Consider the following 18291-nt stretch of genomic DNA (forward strand, 5'->3'; position numbering starts at 1 on the left):
CATGGTGGAAGGCAAGGAGGAGCAAGTCACATCTTGCATGGATGGCACCAGGCAAAGGAGAAAGCTTGTGCAGAGACACTCCCGTTTTAAAAACCATTACATCTTGTGAGACCCATTCACTATCACAAGAACAGCACGGGAAAGATCCCCCACGCCATGATTCAATCATCTCCCACTAGGTCCCTCCTTCTCCTTGTCTCCTTTCCTGCGGATGTTTTCTTCCCTGCAGCCCAGTGCACCCAGGTAGCCTCTTTCCCCTTGATTTTACTCAGGTAGCACTGACACAGACATTTGTGAGCAACAACTTTTACTGAAGGTTTAGGGTCACACAAAGTGTGAGCAGGGAGGCAAGGCTTACAGTGCAGCTCACAGCACAGAGAACCAAGTTAAACTGAATCTCAGGCAACCATTATTTATTTTCTCTCTCTCTTTCTTTCTTTTAGAGACCCGGTCTTTCTCTATCACCCAGGCTGGAGAGCAGTGGTGCAATCATAGCTCACTGCAGCCTCGAACTCCTGGGCTCAAGTGATCCTCCTGCCTCAGCCTTCTGAGTAGCTGGGGCTACAGACACCTGCCACCATGCCTGATAAGTTTTTTAAAAAACTTTTGTGGAGATGGGGTCTCACCATATTGCCCAAGCTGGTCTTGAACTTCTGGGCTCAAGCAATCCTCCTGCCTCAGCCTCCCAAAGTCCTGGGATTCCAGCTGTGAGCCACCATGCACCCCCAACCCCTATTTTCAAGGGCCCTGCAATATTTGTGTCAACATGACATCACACTGTTCATTCTTCATAAGCCAGAGCCTTCCTCCACCCCCAGCCCCCTCATTCTCCCTCTCTTGGAGCCAATTCAAATCTCCTCACCCCCAAATCTATTTCTCATGCAGAGCAGTACAGCTCCCCCTCTGAACTAATATTATCCCCAGGCCTAACTTTGCGTGCCCCCAAATCTCCCTGAGGTGCTCTGCTAAACATCAAGACCACTGACTTCAGATTCTGGCAACACCATGGACTCAGCTAATGCTGATGCCACCTCCCCTGCCAACACTGAGAAACTCAGTACCAAATATAAGTGAAAGATGTTAGAACAACAGTGGAACTTGAAAAAGGAGTGGAGAAGCATTGAGGTGTCGAGTGTACAGAGAGAACTTAGAGCCAGATTTGGGCTTTAACCCAGGGGGCCCAGTGAGAAACTGGACATGGACGGGGGCCCCACCAACGGGAGCTGAGGGTTCAACACCCACTAGGATCCAGAGGTGTGGCCTTGTGGAGAACTGGAACTGAGACCTCTGTATAAAGCAAGAACCCTGGAAGGATGGCCCCTCAGAAAAGAATTACCCACAAAACTAGGAGGTGACACATGAATTTTGTCTTTGCCCAGGCCTCTGGGTGGAAGAAAAGTTTCCTGGGAAAAATCAAAACTGAAAACCAAAACTATTCATGAAGGTGGCAGCCAAATTTATGATATCCATATGGCAAAGAATTCCCAAGATGAAAAATTACACAAAAATGCTCCCCCATGAGCCCTTGGGAGCAGTTGTCAGAAACAAATACAAAACATCTCTGAGGCCATTTTCACAATCCAGAATATATAGGACTCCCATGGAACAAAACAACTCCACTGCAGATGAGTTCACAAACAACAGCTACAAATCACATGAAGAAACCATCTGCCATGAAGGAGAGCCAGCAGGCACAACACACAAGAAAATCATTAACTCCAGCTGGGCGTGGTGGCTCACGCCTGTAATCCCAGCACTTTGGGAGGCTGAGGCAGATGGATCACGAGGTCAGGAGATCGAGACCATCCTGGCTAACACGGTGAAACCCTGTCTCTACTAAAAATACAAAAAAATTAGCCAGGCGTGGTGGCGGGCACCTGTAGTCCCAGCTACGGGAGTCTGAGGCAGGAGAATGGCGTGATCCCGGGAGGCGGAGCTTACAGTGAGCCGAGATTGCACCACTGCACTCCAGCCTGGACTACAGAGTGAGACTCCATCTCAAAAAAAAAAAAAAGGAAAAAGAAAATCATTACCTCTAAGAACCTGAAATAATAGGACAAGCCAAAAGAGATATAAAATTAGCATATTAAAATGATTAAAAATACAAAGGAAGGAATAAAAATGATAAAGAACAGGATACTGTGTAAAACAACAGATTTGGAAAAGAACCACAGAGACAAAAGAATATGGTTATTGAATTTGTAAACACAATATACTGGCAAGCCAGCAGATTAGACACAGTTGAATTGAGAATAGGTGTACTGGAAGGCAGATCTGCAGAAATTCACCAGAACTCTGGCAAAGAGAATATTTGAAAGAAAAGCTAAAAGACATGGATAATAAAACGAGAAAGTCCAATATACCACTAATAGGAGTTCCAGAAGAAAAAGTCAAAATGAATCAGAAAGTGATAATATTTGCCACATTCAAACAAATAATGCATGAAGTTTTTCTAGAACAAGAAATAGCCATAAATCTTCAGATTGAAGAGGCCCATTGATTACTGAGCATGATAAAAATAAATATACAAATAGACATTGCAGAACACCAAAGGTAGATCTTAAAAGCAACTAGGGAGAAAATACAGCTTAATTTAAAAGGATCAATAATTAGATTGGAGACAAATTTTCTTAATAATATCTGCCAAAAACAATAAACATAAATATATTCAATGTGCTGAGGGAAGACAACCATGAACTTCAAGTTCCAGACCCATGAAAATTATTATTTAAGAGTAAGGGGGAAAAGATATTTGCAGACAAAAACAAGTTTTATCACTCAAGATCCTCACTGAAATAATTACTATAGGAACTGTAGGATATATATTGGTAAGATGGAAATGGAACCCACAGGAAATATATGCAATCGAAGTGTCCCAGTTATTTTTTGGGGGTATAACAAGCCACCCCAAATTTAGTGAAGTAAAAGAACAGCCATTTTATTATGCTCACAGGTTTTGTGGGTTAGGAACTCAAACAGATACAGCAAGGATGGCTCGACTTTTTTTTTTTTTTTTTGAGATGGTGTTTCGCTCTTGTTGCCCAGGCTGGAGTGCAATGGCACAATCTCAGTTCACTGAAACCTCCACCTCCCAGGTTCAAGCGATTCTTCTGCCTCAGCCTCCCAAGTAGCTGGGATTACAGGCGTGCACAACCACGACCGGCTAATTCTTGTATTTTTAGTAGAGACGGGGTTTCACCATGTTGGCCAGGCTGGTATTGAGCCCCTGAGCTCAAGTGATCCACCCACCTCGGCCTCCCAAAGTGCTGGGATTACAGGCATGAGCCACCAAGCCCAGCCAGCTCAACTTTTTAAATGATGTCTGGGGCTCCAGCTGGAAAGTCCTGAATGGCTCATGTGGCTGAGGGCTGGAAGCACCTGGAGGCCCCTTCACTCACATATCTAGGATCTGAGCTAAGATTATTCAAAGACCATGCTGAGTGAAGACTGTTGACTGTAACATCTACAAATGGCCTCTACATGGGAGTGTCCAGAGAGCAAGTGCTCCAAAGAACTAGGAAAGATGGGTGACCTTTTCTAATCTGGTCTCAGAAATCACACACCACATTCTACTGACTAAAACAAGTCACTAAGGTCATCCCAAATTCAAAAGCAGACGAAATAGATTCCATCTCTTGATGGGGGGTGTCGAGTTCATATTGCAGAAGAGCATATGAGATGGGAGCTATGGTTGCTTCTATCTTTAAAAAAATACAAACTGCCACAGTAAACAAAAATGTTATCCATTATAAACCTAAGTAGTCGTTGAGCTGGGCCTGGTGACTTGAACCTGTAATCTCAGCTACTCAGCAGGCTGATGCTGGGAATTACTTGAGGGCAGGAGTTTGAGACCAGCCTGGGCAACATAACAAGACCCTGGATCTCTACAAAAACATTAAAAAAACAAAAACAAAAACAAAAAAGCTGGGCATGATGGCACATGCCTGCAGTCCTAGGAGGCTGAGGTGGGAGGATCACTTGAGCCCAGGAGTTGGAAGCTGCAGTGAACTATCATTGTGCCACTGCACTCCAGCCTGGGCAACAGAGAGAGACCCCCATCTCTAAAAAGAAAAAAAAAGTCATTGATTTATACCAACAACAACAAAAATGAATAATTTGGGATGTTAAAAATAAGATGAAAATAAAACATTAGATAATAATACATGGAAAATGGAAGGTGTGTAATTGGAGTTGAAGCTTTTAAGATCTTTGCTTGGGAGGGGCATAAAGATATAAGCCAGGTAGAGAGGCTCATGTTTGTAATCCAGCACTTGGAAGGCTGAGACAGGAGAATCTCTTGAGATTAAGAGTTCCAGACCAGACTGGGCAACATAGCAAGATTCTGCCTCTACAACCAAAAGTTTTCTAAACTTAGCCAGGCATGGTGGTATGCACCTATAGTCCTAGCTACTTGGGAGGCTGAGGTGGGAGGATCCCTTGAGCCCAAGAGTTTGAAGCTACAGTGAGCTATGATCATGCCACTGTACTCCAGCCTGAGTGACAGAGCAAGATCCCATCTCTTAAAAAATAAAATTATATGAATTAAATATACTGATTAATTTATCCCTTGTTAAATCAAATACACATGATAGAAATATAAGTTAACTACTAAAAGAATCAAAATACAATGTATAATTTTCAAACCAGTATAAGGAAAGGGGGTGGAGATAAAGAAAATTTGATTAATATAGTAGACACTGGCAGGCCGGGCATGGTGGCTCACCCTGCAATCCCAGCACTTTGGGAGGCCAAGGTGGGTGGATCATCTGAGGTCAGGAGTTCAAGACCAGCCTGGCCAAAATGGTGAAACCCCATCTCTACTAAAAATACAAAAATTAATTGGGCATGGTGGTGTGCACCTGTCGTCCCAGCTACTCTGGAGGCTGAGGCATGAGAATTGCTTGAACCCGGGAGGAGGAGACTGCAGTGAGCCAAGACTGCATGACTGCACTCCAGTCTGGATGACAGAGCAAGACTCCGTCTCAAAAAAAAAAAAAAAAGATACTAGCAAAGGGAGGAAAGAAGCAAAGCAAAATCATGGTAAATATAGGCCAGGCACAGTGGCTCACACCTGTAATCCCAGCACTTTGGGAGGCCAAGGCAGGCAGATCACTTGAGGCCAGAAGTTCGAGACTGGCCTGTCCAACATGGTGAAACCCTATCTCTACCAAAAAAAAAAAAAAAAAATTAGCCAGGTGTGGTGGCACATGCCTGTAGTCCCAGCTACTCAGGAGGCTGAGGCAGGTGAATCACTTGAATCCAGGAGGCAGAAGTTGCAGTGAGCCGAGATTGCGCTGCTGCATTCCAGCCTGGGCAACAGAGCGAGACTCCATCTCAAAAAAAAAAAAAAGAAAACATGGTAAATATAAAATAAGTAAAATTGCAGAATTAAATCCAAATATATAATAATAATAAATGTAAATGGACTCGATTTTTCATTCAAATAACAGAGAATCTCAGATTATATTTTTAAAATTCTAGCTATATGCTATTTATAAGAGATACACCTAAAACATAATGACACAGAAATATTGGGAATATTTCTATACTAAGCAGATGCTAACCAAAAGAAAGATGGTGTAGCAATATTAGTATTAGGCAAAATAGACTTTAAGGCAAAAGCCATCACTAAGAAAAAGGTGTCATTATATAATGATAAAAGGAATAATTCATCAATAGGATAAAACAATGTTGAACCTGCTTGCAACTAATAACTCTAAAATATATACAGCAAACAGTTACAGAATTACAAGAAAAAACTGTCAAAGTCACCATCATACTGAGAGATTTTAAACAAAGGGTTATCAACTCCAGGCCTACGTGTTAGAATCACAGATGCTTTAAGATTACAATCATTCCTTTAACGTGGTCTAATTCTAGACATGATTTCTTCACCCGCCAGTCTGTGTAAACTGAAGGAGGCAGTACAGAGGTTTGTCCTCATGCTGGCTGAATAACTGCACACTTGTCAGGCAGCAGAAATGTGCACAGCCAGATGTTTTTTACTAAAATAATCATTTTTTTTTCTACCACAAATACATGAGCCTCAAAGAGTGGCAGCTGTCCTAAATTGATTTATTTTAAATCTACTGGAGCACCTACTTTACACTGAGGGTGGCTGTGCTCCTTAAGACATTAGGTTATAGTAATCTGAGTTTTTGTCAATTAAATCATATTTCTCAACCCATTCACAGACGCTTGTATGTGTATTATATGTTCACATATTATAAATTAGCAAAGTAGAATGCTTAAAAATGTTTTTATCTCATTCAGCCTCTGGTTTACAGATAAGGAAACAGATCCAGAGACAGTAATGAGTTTCCAAGAGCCTTAAACTCCTGTTTAAGCACCTGCCGCCTGATTCCACCTCAGCCTCGCTCCACCTTCCCAGAAGAAGAAAAAAAGGAAGTGACAACAAGGAAGGGGTGAGGCTTACACCAGGAAAGTCTACCTCCCAGAAATCCCCAGCTAACTTCTACTTACATCTCATTGGCCAGTACTGGATCCTAAGCCTACCCCTAGCTGCAAGGGATGATGGGAAGTATAATTTGTTTGCCAATCCCATCAAAATCAGGGTTCTGCCACATACTTAATTAACAACAAATTAACCTACATTTGCTAATTGGCTACTGTTTTAAGGACGTGGCTCAAGTCTTTATCTCCAGATACCTCCAGATTAGGGATACTTCCCCCTAATGTTGGCCTTGCTGCACTGTATCATAGTTATTCACAACTTTCTCCAGTAACTAAATTATAAGCTTTTTGAAGTCAGGGACTATTGTGGCGAGGATGAAAAGCTAGTGTAGGAAAGCGCTTGTGAAATTTTCTGTGCTGTGCATACACAGAGTGATATTTTCATTATCGATAGCAGGAATGCTTTTTGCGCAATCTCACCCACCCCAGCTGCTATGGTTTGAATGTGTTCCCCCAAAATTCATGTGTTAGAAGCTTGTCCTCATTCTGATGGTATTAAGAGGTGAAACCTTTAAGAGATGATTAGGTCATGAGGGCTCTGCCCTCATGAATGGATTAATGCTATTATGCAAGAGTGAGTGAAGCGTTATCGCCGAGGGGTGGGCTCCTGATAAAAAGGATTAATTCAGTCGATTTCCTCTCTCTGTCTCTCCTGCCCTTGCTTTCGCCTTCTGCGTGGCCCTTACCAGATGCTGGCACCATGCTCTTGAACTTCCCAGCCTCCAAAAGAGTAAGCCGAATAGATTTCCATTCATTGTAAGTTACCCAGTCTGTGGTATTCTGTTACGGCAGCAGAAAATGAACTAAGAGGCCAGTGGCACTGTCTTTGCACACAGTATATGCTCAGCATGTGTGCACTCTATCATTCAATACAACGTTTATACATCCTCCTCCCCCGCTCCCACCCTCCAGCTTCTGCTGGGTGTGCAGGAGCTCAGGCACCATGGTGGGCCTCTATGTGCCCCAGGATGCTGTCTCCAGGTGGACAAAAGTGAGTCTAAGGGGAGTGGGACATCAAAGCAAGCACTTCCTCATCCTATTGCAGGCCCTGTGCCAGCGTGGCAGGTCTCCGTATGAAGGCTGGGGGCCTGGGGCAGGCTATGGGGAAGAAGAGAGAGAAGTGAGAGGCAGGGACAGACTGAGCTGGAGCGAGAACGAGGAGGGACTGCATACAGATGTGGTCTAGAGATAGCCTTTGCCCCCATCCCAGAAACCAAAGCCTACAATGCTCTACCCTCAGTCTACAAGGCTCTGTCCAGCCCAGCACCAGGTGCTCCTCTCAGCAGCCCTGAGCAAAGGGCAGGAGGCAGGTTGTAAGCCTAGGGACTGCACCAGGCTGACTTTTCACACACTAGTCTCATTGCATCTTCATATCATCACCCAAAGGTAAGTATTTCCATTTTACAGGTAAGGAGAGTGAGGCCCAGAGATCTAAGTGGGCTGCCCAAGGCCATCCAGTAAGGGACAGGGCTGGGGTTGATCTGACTCTGAACTCCATGCCCTTTCACAGGACTGTACCTCTGACACAGGGCACCAGCAGGCACCCAGGCCTCATCCCTGGGCGGATAGTGCTACACCTGTGGGGGCAAGGCAGCGGCCCTGCAGGGGTAGGTGCCTGGTTGCCACCCTCCCCATCTGTGGCTGCTTCCTCCCCCTCCACAGCCAGCAGGAGCAGTTTCATGGAGCTGGGAGTCCCGTGGGCTCCCCACTTCCAGGCAGCTCCTCAACTCTTCAATCTGGATCTATCTGGGGGTGGGTCAGAAAAGGCTGCCTCTTGGACCAGGCGCAGTGGCTCACAGCTGTAATCCCAGCACTTTGGGAGGCCAAGGTGGGCCGATCACTTGAGGTCAGGAGTTTGAGACCAGCCTGGCCAACATGGTAAAACCCCATCTCTACTAAAAATATACCAAAAAAAAAAAAAAAGAAATTAGCTGAGTGTGGTGGCGCATGCTTCTGCAGTGGCAGCTACTCAGGAGGCTGAGGCACGAGGATCGCTTGAACCCAGGAGGCAGAGGCTGCAGCGAGCCAAGATAGCACCACTGCACTCCAGCCTGGACAACAGAGTGAGACTCCATCAAAAAAAAAAAAAAAGGAAGGAAGGAATGAAAGGGAAGGAAGGAAAGGGAGGGAGGGAGGGAGGGAGGGATGGAGGGAAGGAAGGAAGGAAGGCAGGCAGGCAGGCAGGCAGGCAGGCAGGAAGGAAGGAAGGAAGGGAAGGAAGAAAGGGTTTCCTAGAATGCACCAGGCCAAGACTAAGACCCAGACCCCTCCCCAGCTATCCCAATCTCCCTGTAGTTGCTGGGGATCCAGAGCCTGTCCTGCTCTCCCCCAGCCCAGGGTGCCCTTCCTGCCTTCTCAGTGGCCGGGGTGCCCCTTTCCCTGTCTTTTTCCTGGCGTGCCCTCTGGCAAGGGAGTGGGTCCTGAGCTGTGTGCAGGGTGCATGCGTGACACAGAGTGGGGTGGAACAGAATCCCAGGAAGGCTGAGCCCAGGCCCTGCCCTTCATCCCCTGGCCCTTTCCCAGAGGAGGCACAACAAACTCAAAGAGAACGTATGGGCTCCAGACCAAAGGTCCTTGGTTCATTGCATGCAGCTCCCACGGCTGCAGCGGCTTTTATGAGAAAGCAGCAAATCATAAGAAAACTATCTCCTTGGGAGGACTTAATTGGGACAGAAACTGCAGATGGATGCCAGATGTGCAACGGCATCCAAACCCGAGTCCCAAATCCCCACAAAGATCCTCAGTCGACTCTCCCGATCCTTTGACCAGGTAATAAGAGTCCTAATAGCAGTAGCAATGGCTCCATTTCTAAAGCACACACGGTATGCTATGCACTGCTTTTATTTCTAGTTCCTTTCATTACCTAGAGAGGCATTGCTCTGCACATTTTACAGATAAGGAAACTGAGGTTACTGAGGTTAGGTAACTCAACCAAGGTCACATATTTAGAAAGTGGTGGAACTTTTCAAAATACTAAGTTGGGGAAATGCTCATCATTTGTAGAAAAATTTTCAATAAGGCATAAGAACACAGGTTTCCAGTTAACCCTCAGTTACCCAGAAAAGTAAATTCCCCAGAACGTCCTGCACATCGTGTATGCCTGTGTATGTGCATGCACTTGAATATTCTGATTAGCAGAGCTCGTGATAAACAGGCCAGACTACAGGGGAAAAAAATGTGCAGAAACCAGCAACCATATTCTCCGAATTCATCGCATGCTTGGAGATCCCCAGGTAAAAAGTTAGCAAAACATACCTTGTTCAAAACAACTGGCCAAGGACGGGATGTGAAGCAGCCACTGCTGCTAGGGGCACAGCATCCATTGGAGTTCCCTCCCCACCCCTAACTGCCCGAGGGCAGCAGATCCAGGGTTGCCCGGCCACCTCCCTCTCCTGACTGCAGTGTGGGAAGAAACGCAGGACGCTGGCAGGCACCAGACCGTGCCCCGCCCCTGATCCACAGTGTGGCTTTGAGCACACCACTTTCCCTCTCTGGGCCTTGGTTTTCCCATCTGTAAAATCAGGGCACAGTGAACTGTAAAGGGCTCGGAGGGAAATTTCATGGACTGGTTGATGATCCCAGGCTGCCGCCCTTTAGGAGAGGTCCTCCCTCCAGAGGGCTCTTGGACCTTGGGGATCCCAGGTGGGAGCCTTCATGGGAAGCGGAAGTGAGCCCTGAGACCTCTGCAGGCTTCTCTCCTACCTCTGAAAGACTGAGCAGGCAGCCTGGTGTCTCAGACACTCCTCATTTCCCTACTTCCCTTCAACAGGGTTAGAGTTCCTACGAAAGCTTTGCTGCCATGCAAGAAGGCAGAATGCTCTCCCACATGGAGACGCACCCAGACAGTCCACGGGACACATGTGTGCATAAGCCCGAGTGTGCTCAAGCCCCTCCATACCACTGGCATGGCACTATGGCACTCTAAGCAGGAGCTCAGAGGACTTCTGGGCCAGACCTAGGGCAGCCCTTGCCACTCCTGAGTGACAGACCTAAGTCTGGGTACCAGGGCAGTGAGGACTTCCAGAATGTACACAATATAGCAGGACCCACTCTGCTTCTTGTCCTTCCTCCAAGTGCCCACTCAGCATCTTAAAATGGAGATGTAGCCTGGTGCAGTGGCTCACGCCTATAATCCCAGCACTTTGGGAGGCCAAAGTGGGTGGATCACTTGAGCCCAGGAGTTCAAGACCAGTCTGGGCAACATAGCAAGATCCCACCTCCATAAAATTTTTTAAAAGATTAGACAGGCATGGTGGTGCATGCCTATGGTCGTGGCTGCCTGGGAGGCTGAAGTGCGAGAATCACCTAAGCCTAGGAGTCCAAGGCTGCAGTGAGCTGAGATTGCACCACTGCACTTCAGACTGACCCTGTCTCAAAAAAAAAAAAAAAAAAAAAACAGAGAGATGCTCCCAGCTTTCTTCCAGGAGCGAGGTATTCCCTTCATCCCTTGGGATTAACAGTCAATGCCACCCCCTCTAAGCCACTTATTGTGATATTGACATACTTCAGTGTCAGTACTAGGGACTGCTCCAAGTCCCAGCATGGCTGGGACCACCCTGGTGCCTTCCCCCTCTTCAGACTCCCCAGCAATGTGACAACTGAGTGGGGGGTGACACTAGGTCCTCTGGTAGGTCAGGAGCTGTAATGACCCAGTCCTGCCGGGCCACCCTGTAGCATCACGCTGTGGCAGGGAGGCAGGGATTGCAGGCACCTGAGTCCTCCTCACACGCTCAGCTGACCCCGCAGGTCCCTGACCTAGGCTGTGTTTGGTGCCTGTCCTTGCATATGGCGGGCAGCAGCCAGGCTTTGTGTGCAGCACTGTGTCACAGCCGTCTCGCTGTCTGCAGGACTGTTACCGGTGACAGCAGCTATGTGCCTGGCCCTTCTGGGAGCTCAGGAGGGTCCTGCTTACAGGGCGAATTTTGTGCTGAGACAGCTGAGAGGCCAGGTGTTCTGGGCGGCCCAGGAAAACCAGCCGTCAGCATCTCCTGCCCACACCTGTCCTGAGGTCAGAATGAACTTGAGTCCAGCAGGCTCCCAGAGCCAGAGAGCTTCTGCACCTGCAAAGCCCGGCTCCCTGCTTCAGACTGAAGGTGGGGACCTGAAGAGAATGCATACAGGCACCTCAGACTGGACACAGGGGTTGCGGGGGGAGCGGAGGGGAGCCCCTGGGCCCACCCCACCCACTCCACCCTGGCAATTCAGCTTGAAACAAATGATTAGCCTCTCTGTATAGATCCATGTTTCTCTCCTGGGCATGTCGGTTCGGTAAAACCCCGTTCATTTGGGCCTCACTGTGACCTCTAGGACGCTGGCCAAAGGGCAAGCGCCGCCAGGCCAAGGGGCCTGGGAGTGAAATCGTGGGTGAGGATAGGTGACAGGGGTGTTGAATCGGCCCGAGCGGTTCTTTCTTTTCGAGTTAATTTCGCATTGGTCTCTAGGATGCAAGCTTGTCCAACGCGTGGCCCAAGGGCGGCATGTGACTGAGGAAGGTTTTGAATGCGGCCCAAATTCATAAAGCTTTCTTAGAACACTGAGGTATTTTCGCGATTTTTTCTTTTAGCTCACCGGCTGTCGGTAGTGTTAGTGTATTTTACGTATGGTCCAAGACAATTCTTCAACTTCAAAAGACGGAACGCCCCTGCAATGGGACGCCAGACACCTCTAAGAGTGGGTGTAGGCCTCCAAAAGTGTCCACATGATACTTCCAGAAAAACTTCACATGCGGAGGTGTGCAGGAATGTGCGTGCTGCTAGAAAAGAGGCCTAAGGGGTCTGCCCAACGTCCTGAGAACCCGAGAGAGCAGGGCCCGCTGGGACAGGCAGGGGAAGGCCTCGGGAGGGACACGACGGTCCGGCAGCAGAGCCTGCGGGGCTGGAGGAGGCGCCCTCCTCTCAGCTGCTCTTCCTGCCCCTTTCGGTGGCGAAGATGGATGGGGCCCGGGGCTTTCGGCGGGGCCCGAGGGGCCGGCGAGGCTGCGGCCCTGGAGCCCCCTGCCTGGCAGCCATTTGGGCCCCAGGGAAATATCGGCGCTTTGGCTAACCGAATTATTCTTTCGGTTTGAGCCAGCTCCCCTTTTTGAGTCAGATCCGGCGGCAGGGCCAGAAAAGCGCTTTCTGAAACCCCAGCGCGGTCCTCGGTGGGGGTGGAATGGGGTGGGGTGGGGGGCGCGGCCGCGCCGCTGGGCGCCCTCCCCGCCCTCCCCCCTCCCCACCCCCAGTCCTCCCTCCGCTGCCCGCCCCCCAAGCCCGGTGTCGCCCCCTCCGCCCCCTGCCGCATCCCCGGAGCCAGTGCCCACAGGGGCCAGGCAGCCCGCAGGGGTCGCTCACGGCTGGTGTAGGGGCTTGGTCCACCACGCTAGTACTTCGGGCACCAAAATAGAAAAAGAATAACGCTTGGAAAGAATCTGATGTTTCCGAAGGAGCATCGAAAATCGCCGTTACGGGAAAAGTAAAACTCTTGAGGGACTTCCTTACACTAATTTAACTGTCCCGGGTTGTTTTTATTTCTAATTGTGCTGGGGGGATGGGCATCATGATCTGTTTTCAGGGCTTAATGCCCCCTCCACGGTCCCTGGGGGACCTCTGGCCTTGGTGCCTCTCCAGGACATCCTGATGTCTCCGAGGTCCCATTTCAACTCCCTGGGGTCCCGGGCTGCCCAGCTGTTATTTTGCAGAATTTCTCTCCCACAGTGTCACCAGTAGTTCTGCTTATCGCTCCTGCCACTGAGTCACAAGGGGAGGAGGGGATTTCTGAGCTGTTTCAACACTTACCCAGAATATTAGGGGTTTCATGCAGCCCTTGTTTATTTAAAAAAAAAAAGAAAAGAAAGAAAGAAAAGAAAGCCCCAAAGCCAACAAAATATGACACACACGTACAGAAGGAGGGAAGGCAAGGGGGTGGGGGCCTTGCAGAACCAAATGGCCTATCTGCTGAGCTGGGGCTGGAGCTGGAAGTCAGGTTTCCTGTCCCCACTCCCCCAGCCTGGGCCCACCCCGTGCCTTCTGTTTCACCCAGGGCTGTGGAAACCAGCTAATGTTTATGGAGCACTTCCTCCCGCCAGCGGGCACAGTTCTAAGCCCTTTATAAGAAATAGCTCATCCAATGCCCGTAACTGCACCCGGAGGCGTGAGGGCTGTTATTGTGCCTGCCAGCCGGTTTCATAGATAGGAGACAGCACGGAGAGTTCAACTGCACTGGGGTACTTGGGTTTCCTGTGGAGAAAAATTTGCCCATCGCTTTGGCACAGAATCTGTGCCAAGACAGATTCTCAGCCAAGGCAGGCCTCAGAGTCCCCAGAGTCCAGCTACAGGATGCCCAGAACCTCCCTCCAGCTGAGACAAGCTGGCCAGGGGCTTGGGACCTCTGAGCTCCTTGGGGAGCTGAGGGGGCGCTGTCCTGGAGTCCAAGACCTGGGCTGTGTTCACTACCCCTGGCCAGGATTCAGCAGCAACACAGATAACCAGGAAAGGGGCTGTGGCCTGAGCAGCCAGCCTGCAGCCATAGGGAGGGTGTGACTCCAGCGAAACTCCAGCAAGAAGGGCCGCATGTGAGGTCAAGTCCCCAGCATCTAGAATGTGCTGCCCTTGACAACTAGGAAGCGCTAACCCCTGGGGAAGAAAGGGCAGATGTTGCCTGGTGATGGAGGGAGATGTGGGATAGGGGTGGAGGTGGGTGCATGGCCTCTTCCTCCTCCCTCTCCTCCGTGCCCTTCATTCTCCTTCTGTGGATCTTCATTGAGCACCTACTGTGCACCTGCCCTCAGTGGCCTCTCACTTCCTCCTCTTCCTTCCCAATTCCTTTACCAACTGTGAGATCTTTTGAAGCGACTGTGAGACCTTGGATAAGTCCCTTCCCACTTAGACCCTCAGTTTCCTCTTCTGGAGGAGCAGTGGCCGGGGTTCTGCGGCCCTTTCAGCAGCGTAGTGTGGGCAGATAGTAAAGACCACTCCTAGCTGGAGACGAGAGGCTCGGGAGCTGCTGGCCAGTCACACAATGGCATGGGGCTGACCACAGGAGCACGATGTGGCACATGCCCTGCTGGAGGTGTGTGTTGAGACCCCTGGGTATCTGCCTCAGGTGGGCCCTTGAAGGATGAGCAGAAGCTCACTAGGTAAATACAGTGGGAACTGCCAAGCCCGGGAAGGTTCCTCCAGGCCAGAGGGTATAGCCCATGCACACACACAGCTCCAGAAACAGCACCAGGCACTGGGGCAAAGCCCTCCCAGTGTGGCTATATTGCCGTATGTGCCAGAGAGGGGGGATGCCAACCTACCTCCATGTCCAGAGCTGTCTTTACCCAGGCCCAAGGCCCAGCCCTCTGCCTTCAGCCTCCACGCAGCCCTCTGTCTTCAGCCGTGGCCACTACCACTCAGGAAGGTCTGGAAGAGCCTGCTGAGGCCAAGGCAGAGAGAGCGAAGGCAGTTTTAACAGAGCAGAATCCCTCAGGCAGGCCCCATGGCTGAAGACACCATGGCATAGGTGGGCAGCTGGGGTGAGGGAGGGGGGCTGGACAACCCTGTGTCCTCTTCTAGGAGTCCAGGGCAGGCCAGGGTGCCCCAGATGTGGGGAAGAAAAAGCTTCAGGGGCTTCTTGTAGGCTCTCTGGTGAGTTAGTGTATACATATGTTTGTGTGATCCTATGTGTGAGCTGTGGGCTCCTGGCAGGCAAGACCCATGCATAGATGCACAGGCGTGTGTACACAGCTTTGCACACTCACATCTGGGCGTGCAGCAGCAGAAAGGATGCACAGCAGGTGCGGGGAGAATGAGAGAGCTCTTGGGGTGTAGACAGAACCACGTATACCTGGGTTCACCTTGGGTTCTCCCTGCCAGGTACTGTTTCCAACAAAGGTAGTTGGGATGTCAGGCAGGGAGGGTAGCCCTGCCTGTGGCAGGTGCCTGGTGGATGATACCACGATGATGAAAGCAGGGGCCTGGGCTTCAGGTCGGGGCTGCAGTGTGGGGGAGCCACAGCAAGAGTATGAAACCTCTGGGGGATCTGGGTTCTTGGAGCCAGCTGACCCCAGGCCATTGCAAGGCTGAAAGCTTTAGTTTTCATATTCGCAAAGTCCCATGAGTTCATCTGGGGAGGAGGAATTAGAGCAGTCCCTCCCCCAAAAGCCTGGGCTTCCAGTATTGAAGGGGTTAGTGGGGCCTACTCAGATTGGAGATGAGTCACTGACTTCCCCCATAATTCCTCCCTTCATGCCCGCATCCTGGCCAGAGCCTAGGACCCCACCAGGAACCTCGGGAGGGCTTTGCAGCTGCTACCCAAAGACCTGGAAAGCCCGATCGGGAGTGGGGTCTCAGGGCCCAGCCCCAGGTCATCAGGGCAAGGCCTGAAGAGTGCAGAATCCACCCTGCAGAAGTTCTGATGCCACCGGCGAAGGAGGCTGTTCTCAGGTAGCTGCCACAATAGAATGACCAGTTGTTGAAGGCTTATGTTATTTCTCACCCTCACAGTAATCTTGCAAGCTAGGTATTGCTAACGCCATTTCACACGGGAAAACTAAGGGTTGGAGACAGTGAATAACCCATCCCAGGTCATACTACCTGCAAGGGAGGGTACCCGGATTGCAAACCAGTCCACCTGACTCCAGAGCCGGGGAGGTTTCTGTTCTCTGGACTGGCTGAGAAGCTCCCAGGGAGGCATGGACCTCTCCTAGCCTGTCGCTGCAGGAGTCAGCATGTGGTGAGAGCCTGCCTCAAGTGTTTGGGGCCCGCCACCATAAACCTGAGTGATTCCACACGGCCTAGGAATGGCTGGGAGGCCATTAGGAAGTCTCCGGGCCTCTTTAGGGCTACAGAGGGTGAGATGACGTCTGTGTCCTGCTCACAGCTGAGACCCAATTCACATTGTGGGTCCTGGCTCAGAGGGTAGGCATTATAATGAGCCTGAGGGCATCTTTTTTTTTTTTAAGTTGGGGTCTCGCTCTGTCGCCCAGGCTACAGTGCCCTGGTGCGATCATAGCTCACTGTAGCCTTGAACTCCTGGCTCAAGAGATCCCCCTCCCACCTCAGCTCCGGAGTCACTGGGACCACAGACTTGCACCACTGCCTCCCACAAGGGTCAGCTTCATGATCAGCAGCTCTCCCCAGGTCACCATAATCCTGCCCCCAGGATGCGGAAAGTGGCGCTGGCAGTCACCACCGCCTCCATAAGTCTGGCAGATTCCCAGCCCTGCGTTCTCCAAATACAGGGCAACTAAAGGGAAAAGGGGGAAATAGGAATTAAGGCATCACCCCTCACCACTTTCCAGTTAGTCTAGGGGGAAATCGGCACCTCTCCAGAGGTTTGGGGACCCCTCTTTCCATTCCCTGTGTCCCCAGGCCGATCCCCAGCCCTTTACTCCAACGGTAGACCTGAAGCTGTCGAGATATCAACTCAACATCTTAGGAGGGAGGGGAGACACTGAAGAAAAAAAAAACAAAACAGCTGCCCCCAGGAGGGACAACGATTCTCCCAAGAGCAGGCAGTCCCGAACTTCTCCCAGCACCCTGAACAATGAGGTAAACGGAGGTGTGGCGGGCCGCTCCCCCTACCCCTGCTAGCTGGATGCCAGCCCCCACCGCAAGCCCAGGGCTCAGCTGGCAGGGCCCCGCATGCAGCCCCCGCCGGGGGCAGGGCTGAGTGGCAGAGCGCAACAGCCGTGCCCCCTTCCTGGCCGTGCTCCTGCCTGGGCCTCTGGAGCCTGCCTCTCCCCCTCTGATGTAAGCTGATATTTTAATTCTCTTACAAGGAATGGTGTTTAGAGAAATGACTTAACCAGATTACTCATCGTCTCTAATGACTTGGCCCGACTCCAGCGCTATTCCTAGACGTGACGCTTGAGGCTTCGATTCTTTCTCTCTTTCCTTTTGCTCCTTTTTTTTTTTTTTTAAATACCAAGAAATTACAGCCCTGCCTACGCGGAGGCCCAGCCCCTACACGCCCCCTTTGCATGGTATCCTGGGAGATGGAGTTCTGTCCTGGCCCCAGTCATGCCCCCATCCCCAGCCCAACTCCTCGCCCCTCTCCCGCCTCATCTTGGTGGGAGATGGGCAGGGTGTGGCTGGGCAGAGGTCATTTAATCTCTACATGCCTTGGTTTACTCTTCTGTCAAATGGAAGGGTCACCTGACATACAACAGAGAGTGGAAGTGTCAGTTGAGACCTTATTTTAAGTAAAAGTGTCACAGAGACCCAATGGTTTTAAGAGATTTCTTGTCCAGTGCATTTTGTGCTAAGCACCAGTCAAGACTCACACAGAGCTTTAGTTACCCTGACCCTGGGACTTACCAGGGCCTGGCCCTCACCCAGCCCAAACTTACTCCTTCCTGTCTGTGGACGAGTCTGTGGGCTTGTCCAGCACTTACTCTCTGGTTCTCAATTGTAATAAGGGGATAGATATAGATACAGCGCCCACTTCAGAGGGCTAGAGTGACATTGAAAGAAATACTCCATGCAAGATGGTGCAGTGTGTGTTAGGGTCCGCCCTGGTCCAAGGCATTTTCACCCCTTTCAGCACAAGGCCTTGGCTGAGTAGCTGGAGCGGGGACTGATTCTTAGTAGCCTGTGAGGTTGGCAAGGGCCACATCTTCTGCTCCACAAGGATACGGACTTCTTTCTGGTTGTGGCTACATCCCAGGTCTAGCTCAGTGCTGGCACATAGTAGGACCACACAACACATGTTGGATGAGTGGATGACTGAATAAGTGGAGCATTATCCTGCTTTCCACGGGAGGGGCCTGAGGCCCTGACAGGTTAAGTGTCCAAGGCCACACAGCTGGGCTGTGTCTGAGTGGGAATGAAACCCCCAATTTTCTCTCCTTGCCCT

The 18291-nt window shown here is 50.3% G+C and overlaps 1 long non-coding RNA gene across 1 annotated transcript, besides 8 other annotated features; it reads right to left on the reverse strand.

Annotated features, from left to right (window-relative positions):
- Positions 9364-9883: an enhancer, noted in NCBI's record as "H3K4me1 hESC enhancer chr2:97190085-97190604 (GRCh37/hg19 assembly coordinates)". NCBI's record gives its function as "activates a minimal SCP1, AML or CMV promoter by ChIP-STARR-seq in naive H9 embryonic stem cells {active_cell/tissue: H9 hESC(naive)}" and the evidence as "EXISTENCE:reporter gene assay evidence [ECO:0000049][PMID:30033119]".
- Positions 12216-12555: a silencer, noted in NCBI's record as "silent region_11768". NCBI's record gives its function as "represses an Ori minimal core promoter by ATAC-STARR-seq in GM12878 lymphoblastoid cells {active_cell/tissue: GM12878}" and the evidence as "EXISTENCE:reporter gene assay evidence [ECO:0000049][PMID:35858748]".
- Positions 12706-12805: a silencer, noted in NCBI's record as "silent region_11769". NCBI's record gives its function as "represses an Ori minimal core promoter by ATAC-STARR-seq in GM12878 lymphoblastoid cells {active_cell/tissue: GM12878}" and the evidence as "EXISTENCE:reporter gene assay evidence [ECO:0000049][PMID:35858748]".
- On the reverse strand, positions 12956-17322 carry LOC105373496 (uncharacterized). Its single transcript, NR_135564.1, has 3 exons — positions 17243-17322; positions 14750-14865; positions 12956-13199 (listed from the first exon to the last, which is right to left on the reverse strand). It is a non-coding gene; the product is annotated as an uncharacterized LOC105373496 (long non-coding RNA).
- Positions 13666-13815: an enhancer, noted in NCBI's record as "active region_16219". NCBI's record gives its function as "activates an Ori minimal core promoter by ATAC-STARR-seq in GM12878 lymphoblastoid cells {active_cell/tissue: GM12878}" and the evidence as "EXISTENCE:reporter gene assay evidence [ECO:0000049][PMID:35858748]".
- Positions 16026-16817: an enhancer, noted in NCBI's record as "H3K4me1 hESC enhancer chr2:97196747-97197538 (GRCh37/hg19 assembly coordinates)". NCBI's record gives its function as "activates a minimal SCP1, AML or CMV promoter by ChIP-STARR-seq in primed H9 embryonic stem cells {active_cell/tissue: H9 hESC(primed)}" and the evidence as "EXISTENCE:reporter gene assay evidence [ECO:0000049][PMID:30033119]".
- Positions 16818-17607: an enhancer, noted in NCBI's record as "H3K4me1 hESC enhancer chr2:97197539-97198328 (GRCh37/hg19 assembly coordinates)". NCBI's record gives its function as "activates a minimal SCP1, AML or CMV promoter by ChIP-STARR-seq in primed H9 embryonic stem cells {active_cell/tissue: H9 hESC(primed)}" and the evidence as "EXISTENCE:reporter gene assay evidence [ECO:0000049][PMID:30033119]".
- Positions 17036-17115: a silencer, noted in NCBI's record as "silent region_11770". NCBI's record gives its function as "represses an Ori minimal core promoter by ATAC-STARR-seq in GM12878 lymphoblastoid cells {active_cell/tissue: GM12878}" and the evidence as "EXISTENCE:reporter gene assay evidence [ECO:0000049][PMID:35858748]".
- Positions 17316-17365: an enhancer, noted in NCBI's record as "active region_16220". NCBI's record gives its function as "activates an Ori minimal core promoter by ATAC-STARR-seq in GM12878 lymphoblastoid cells {active_cell/tissue: GM12878}" and the evidence as "EXISTENCE:reporter gene assay evidence [ECO:0000049][PMID:35858748]".

Source organism: Homo sapiens, chromosome 2, assembly GCF_000001405.40.
Source record: "Homo sapiens chromosome 2, GRCh38.p14 Primary Assembly".
Lineage (NCBI taxonomy): Eukaryota > Metazoa > Chordata > Mammalia > Primates > Hominidae > Homo > Homo sapiens.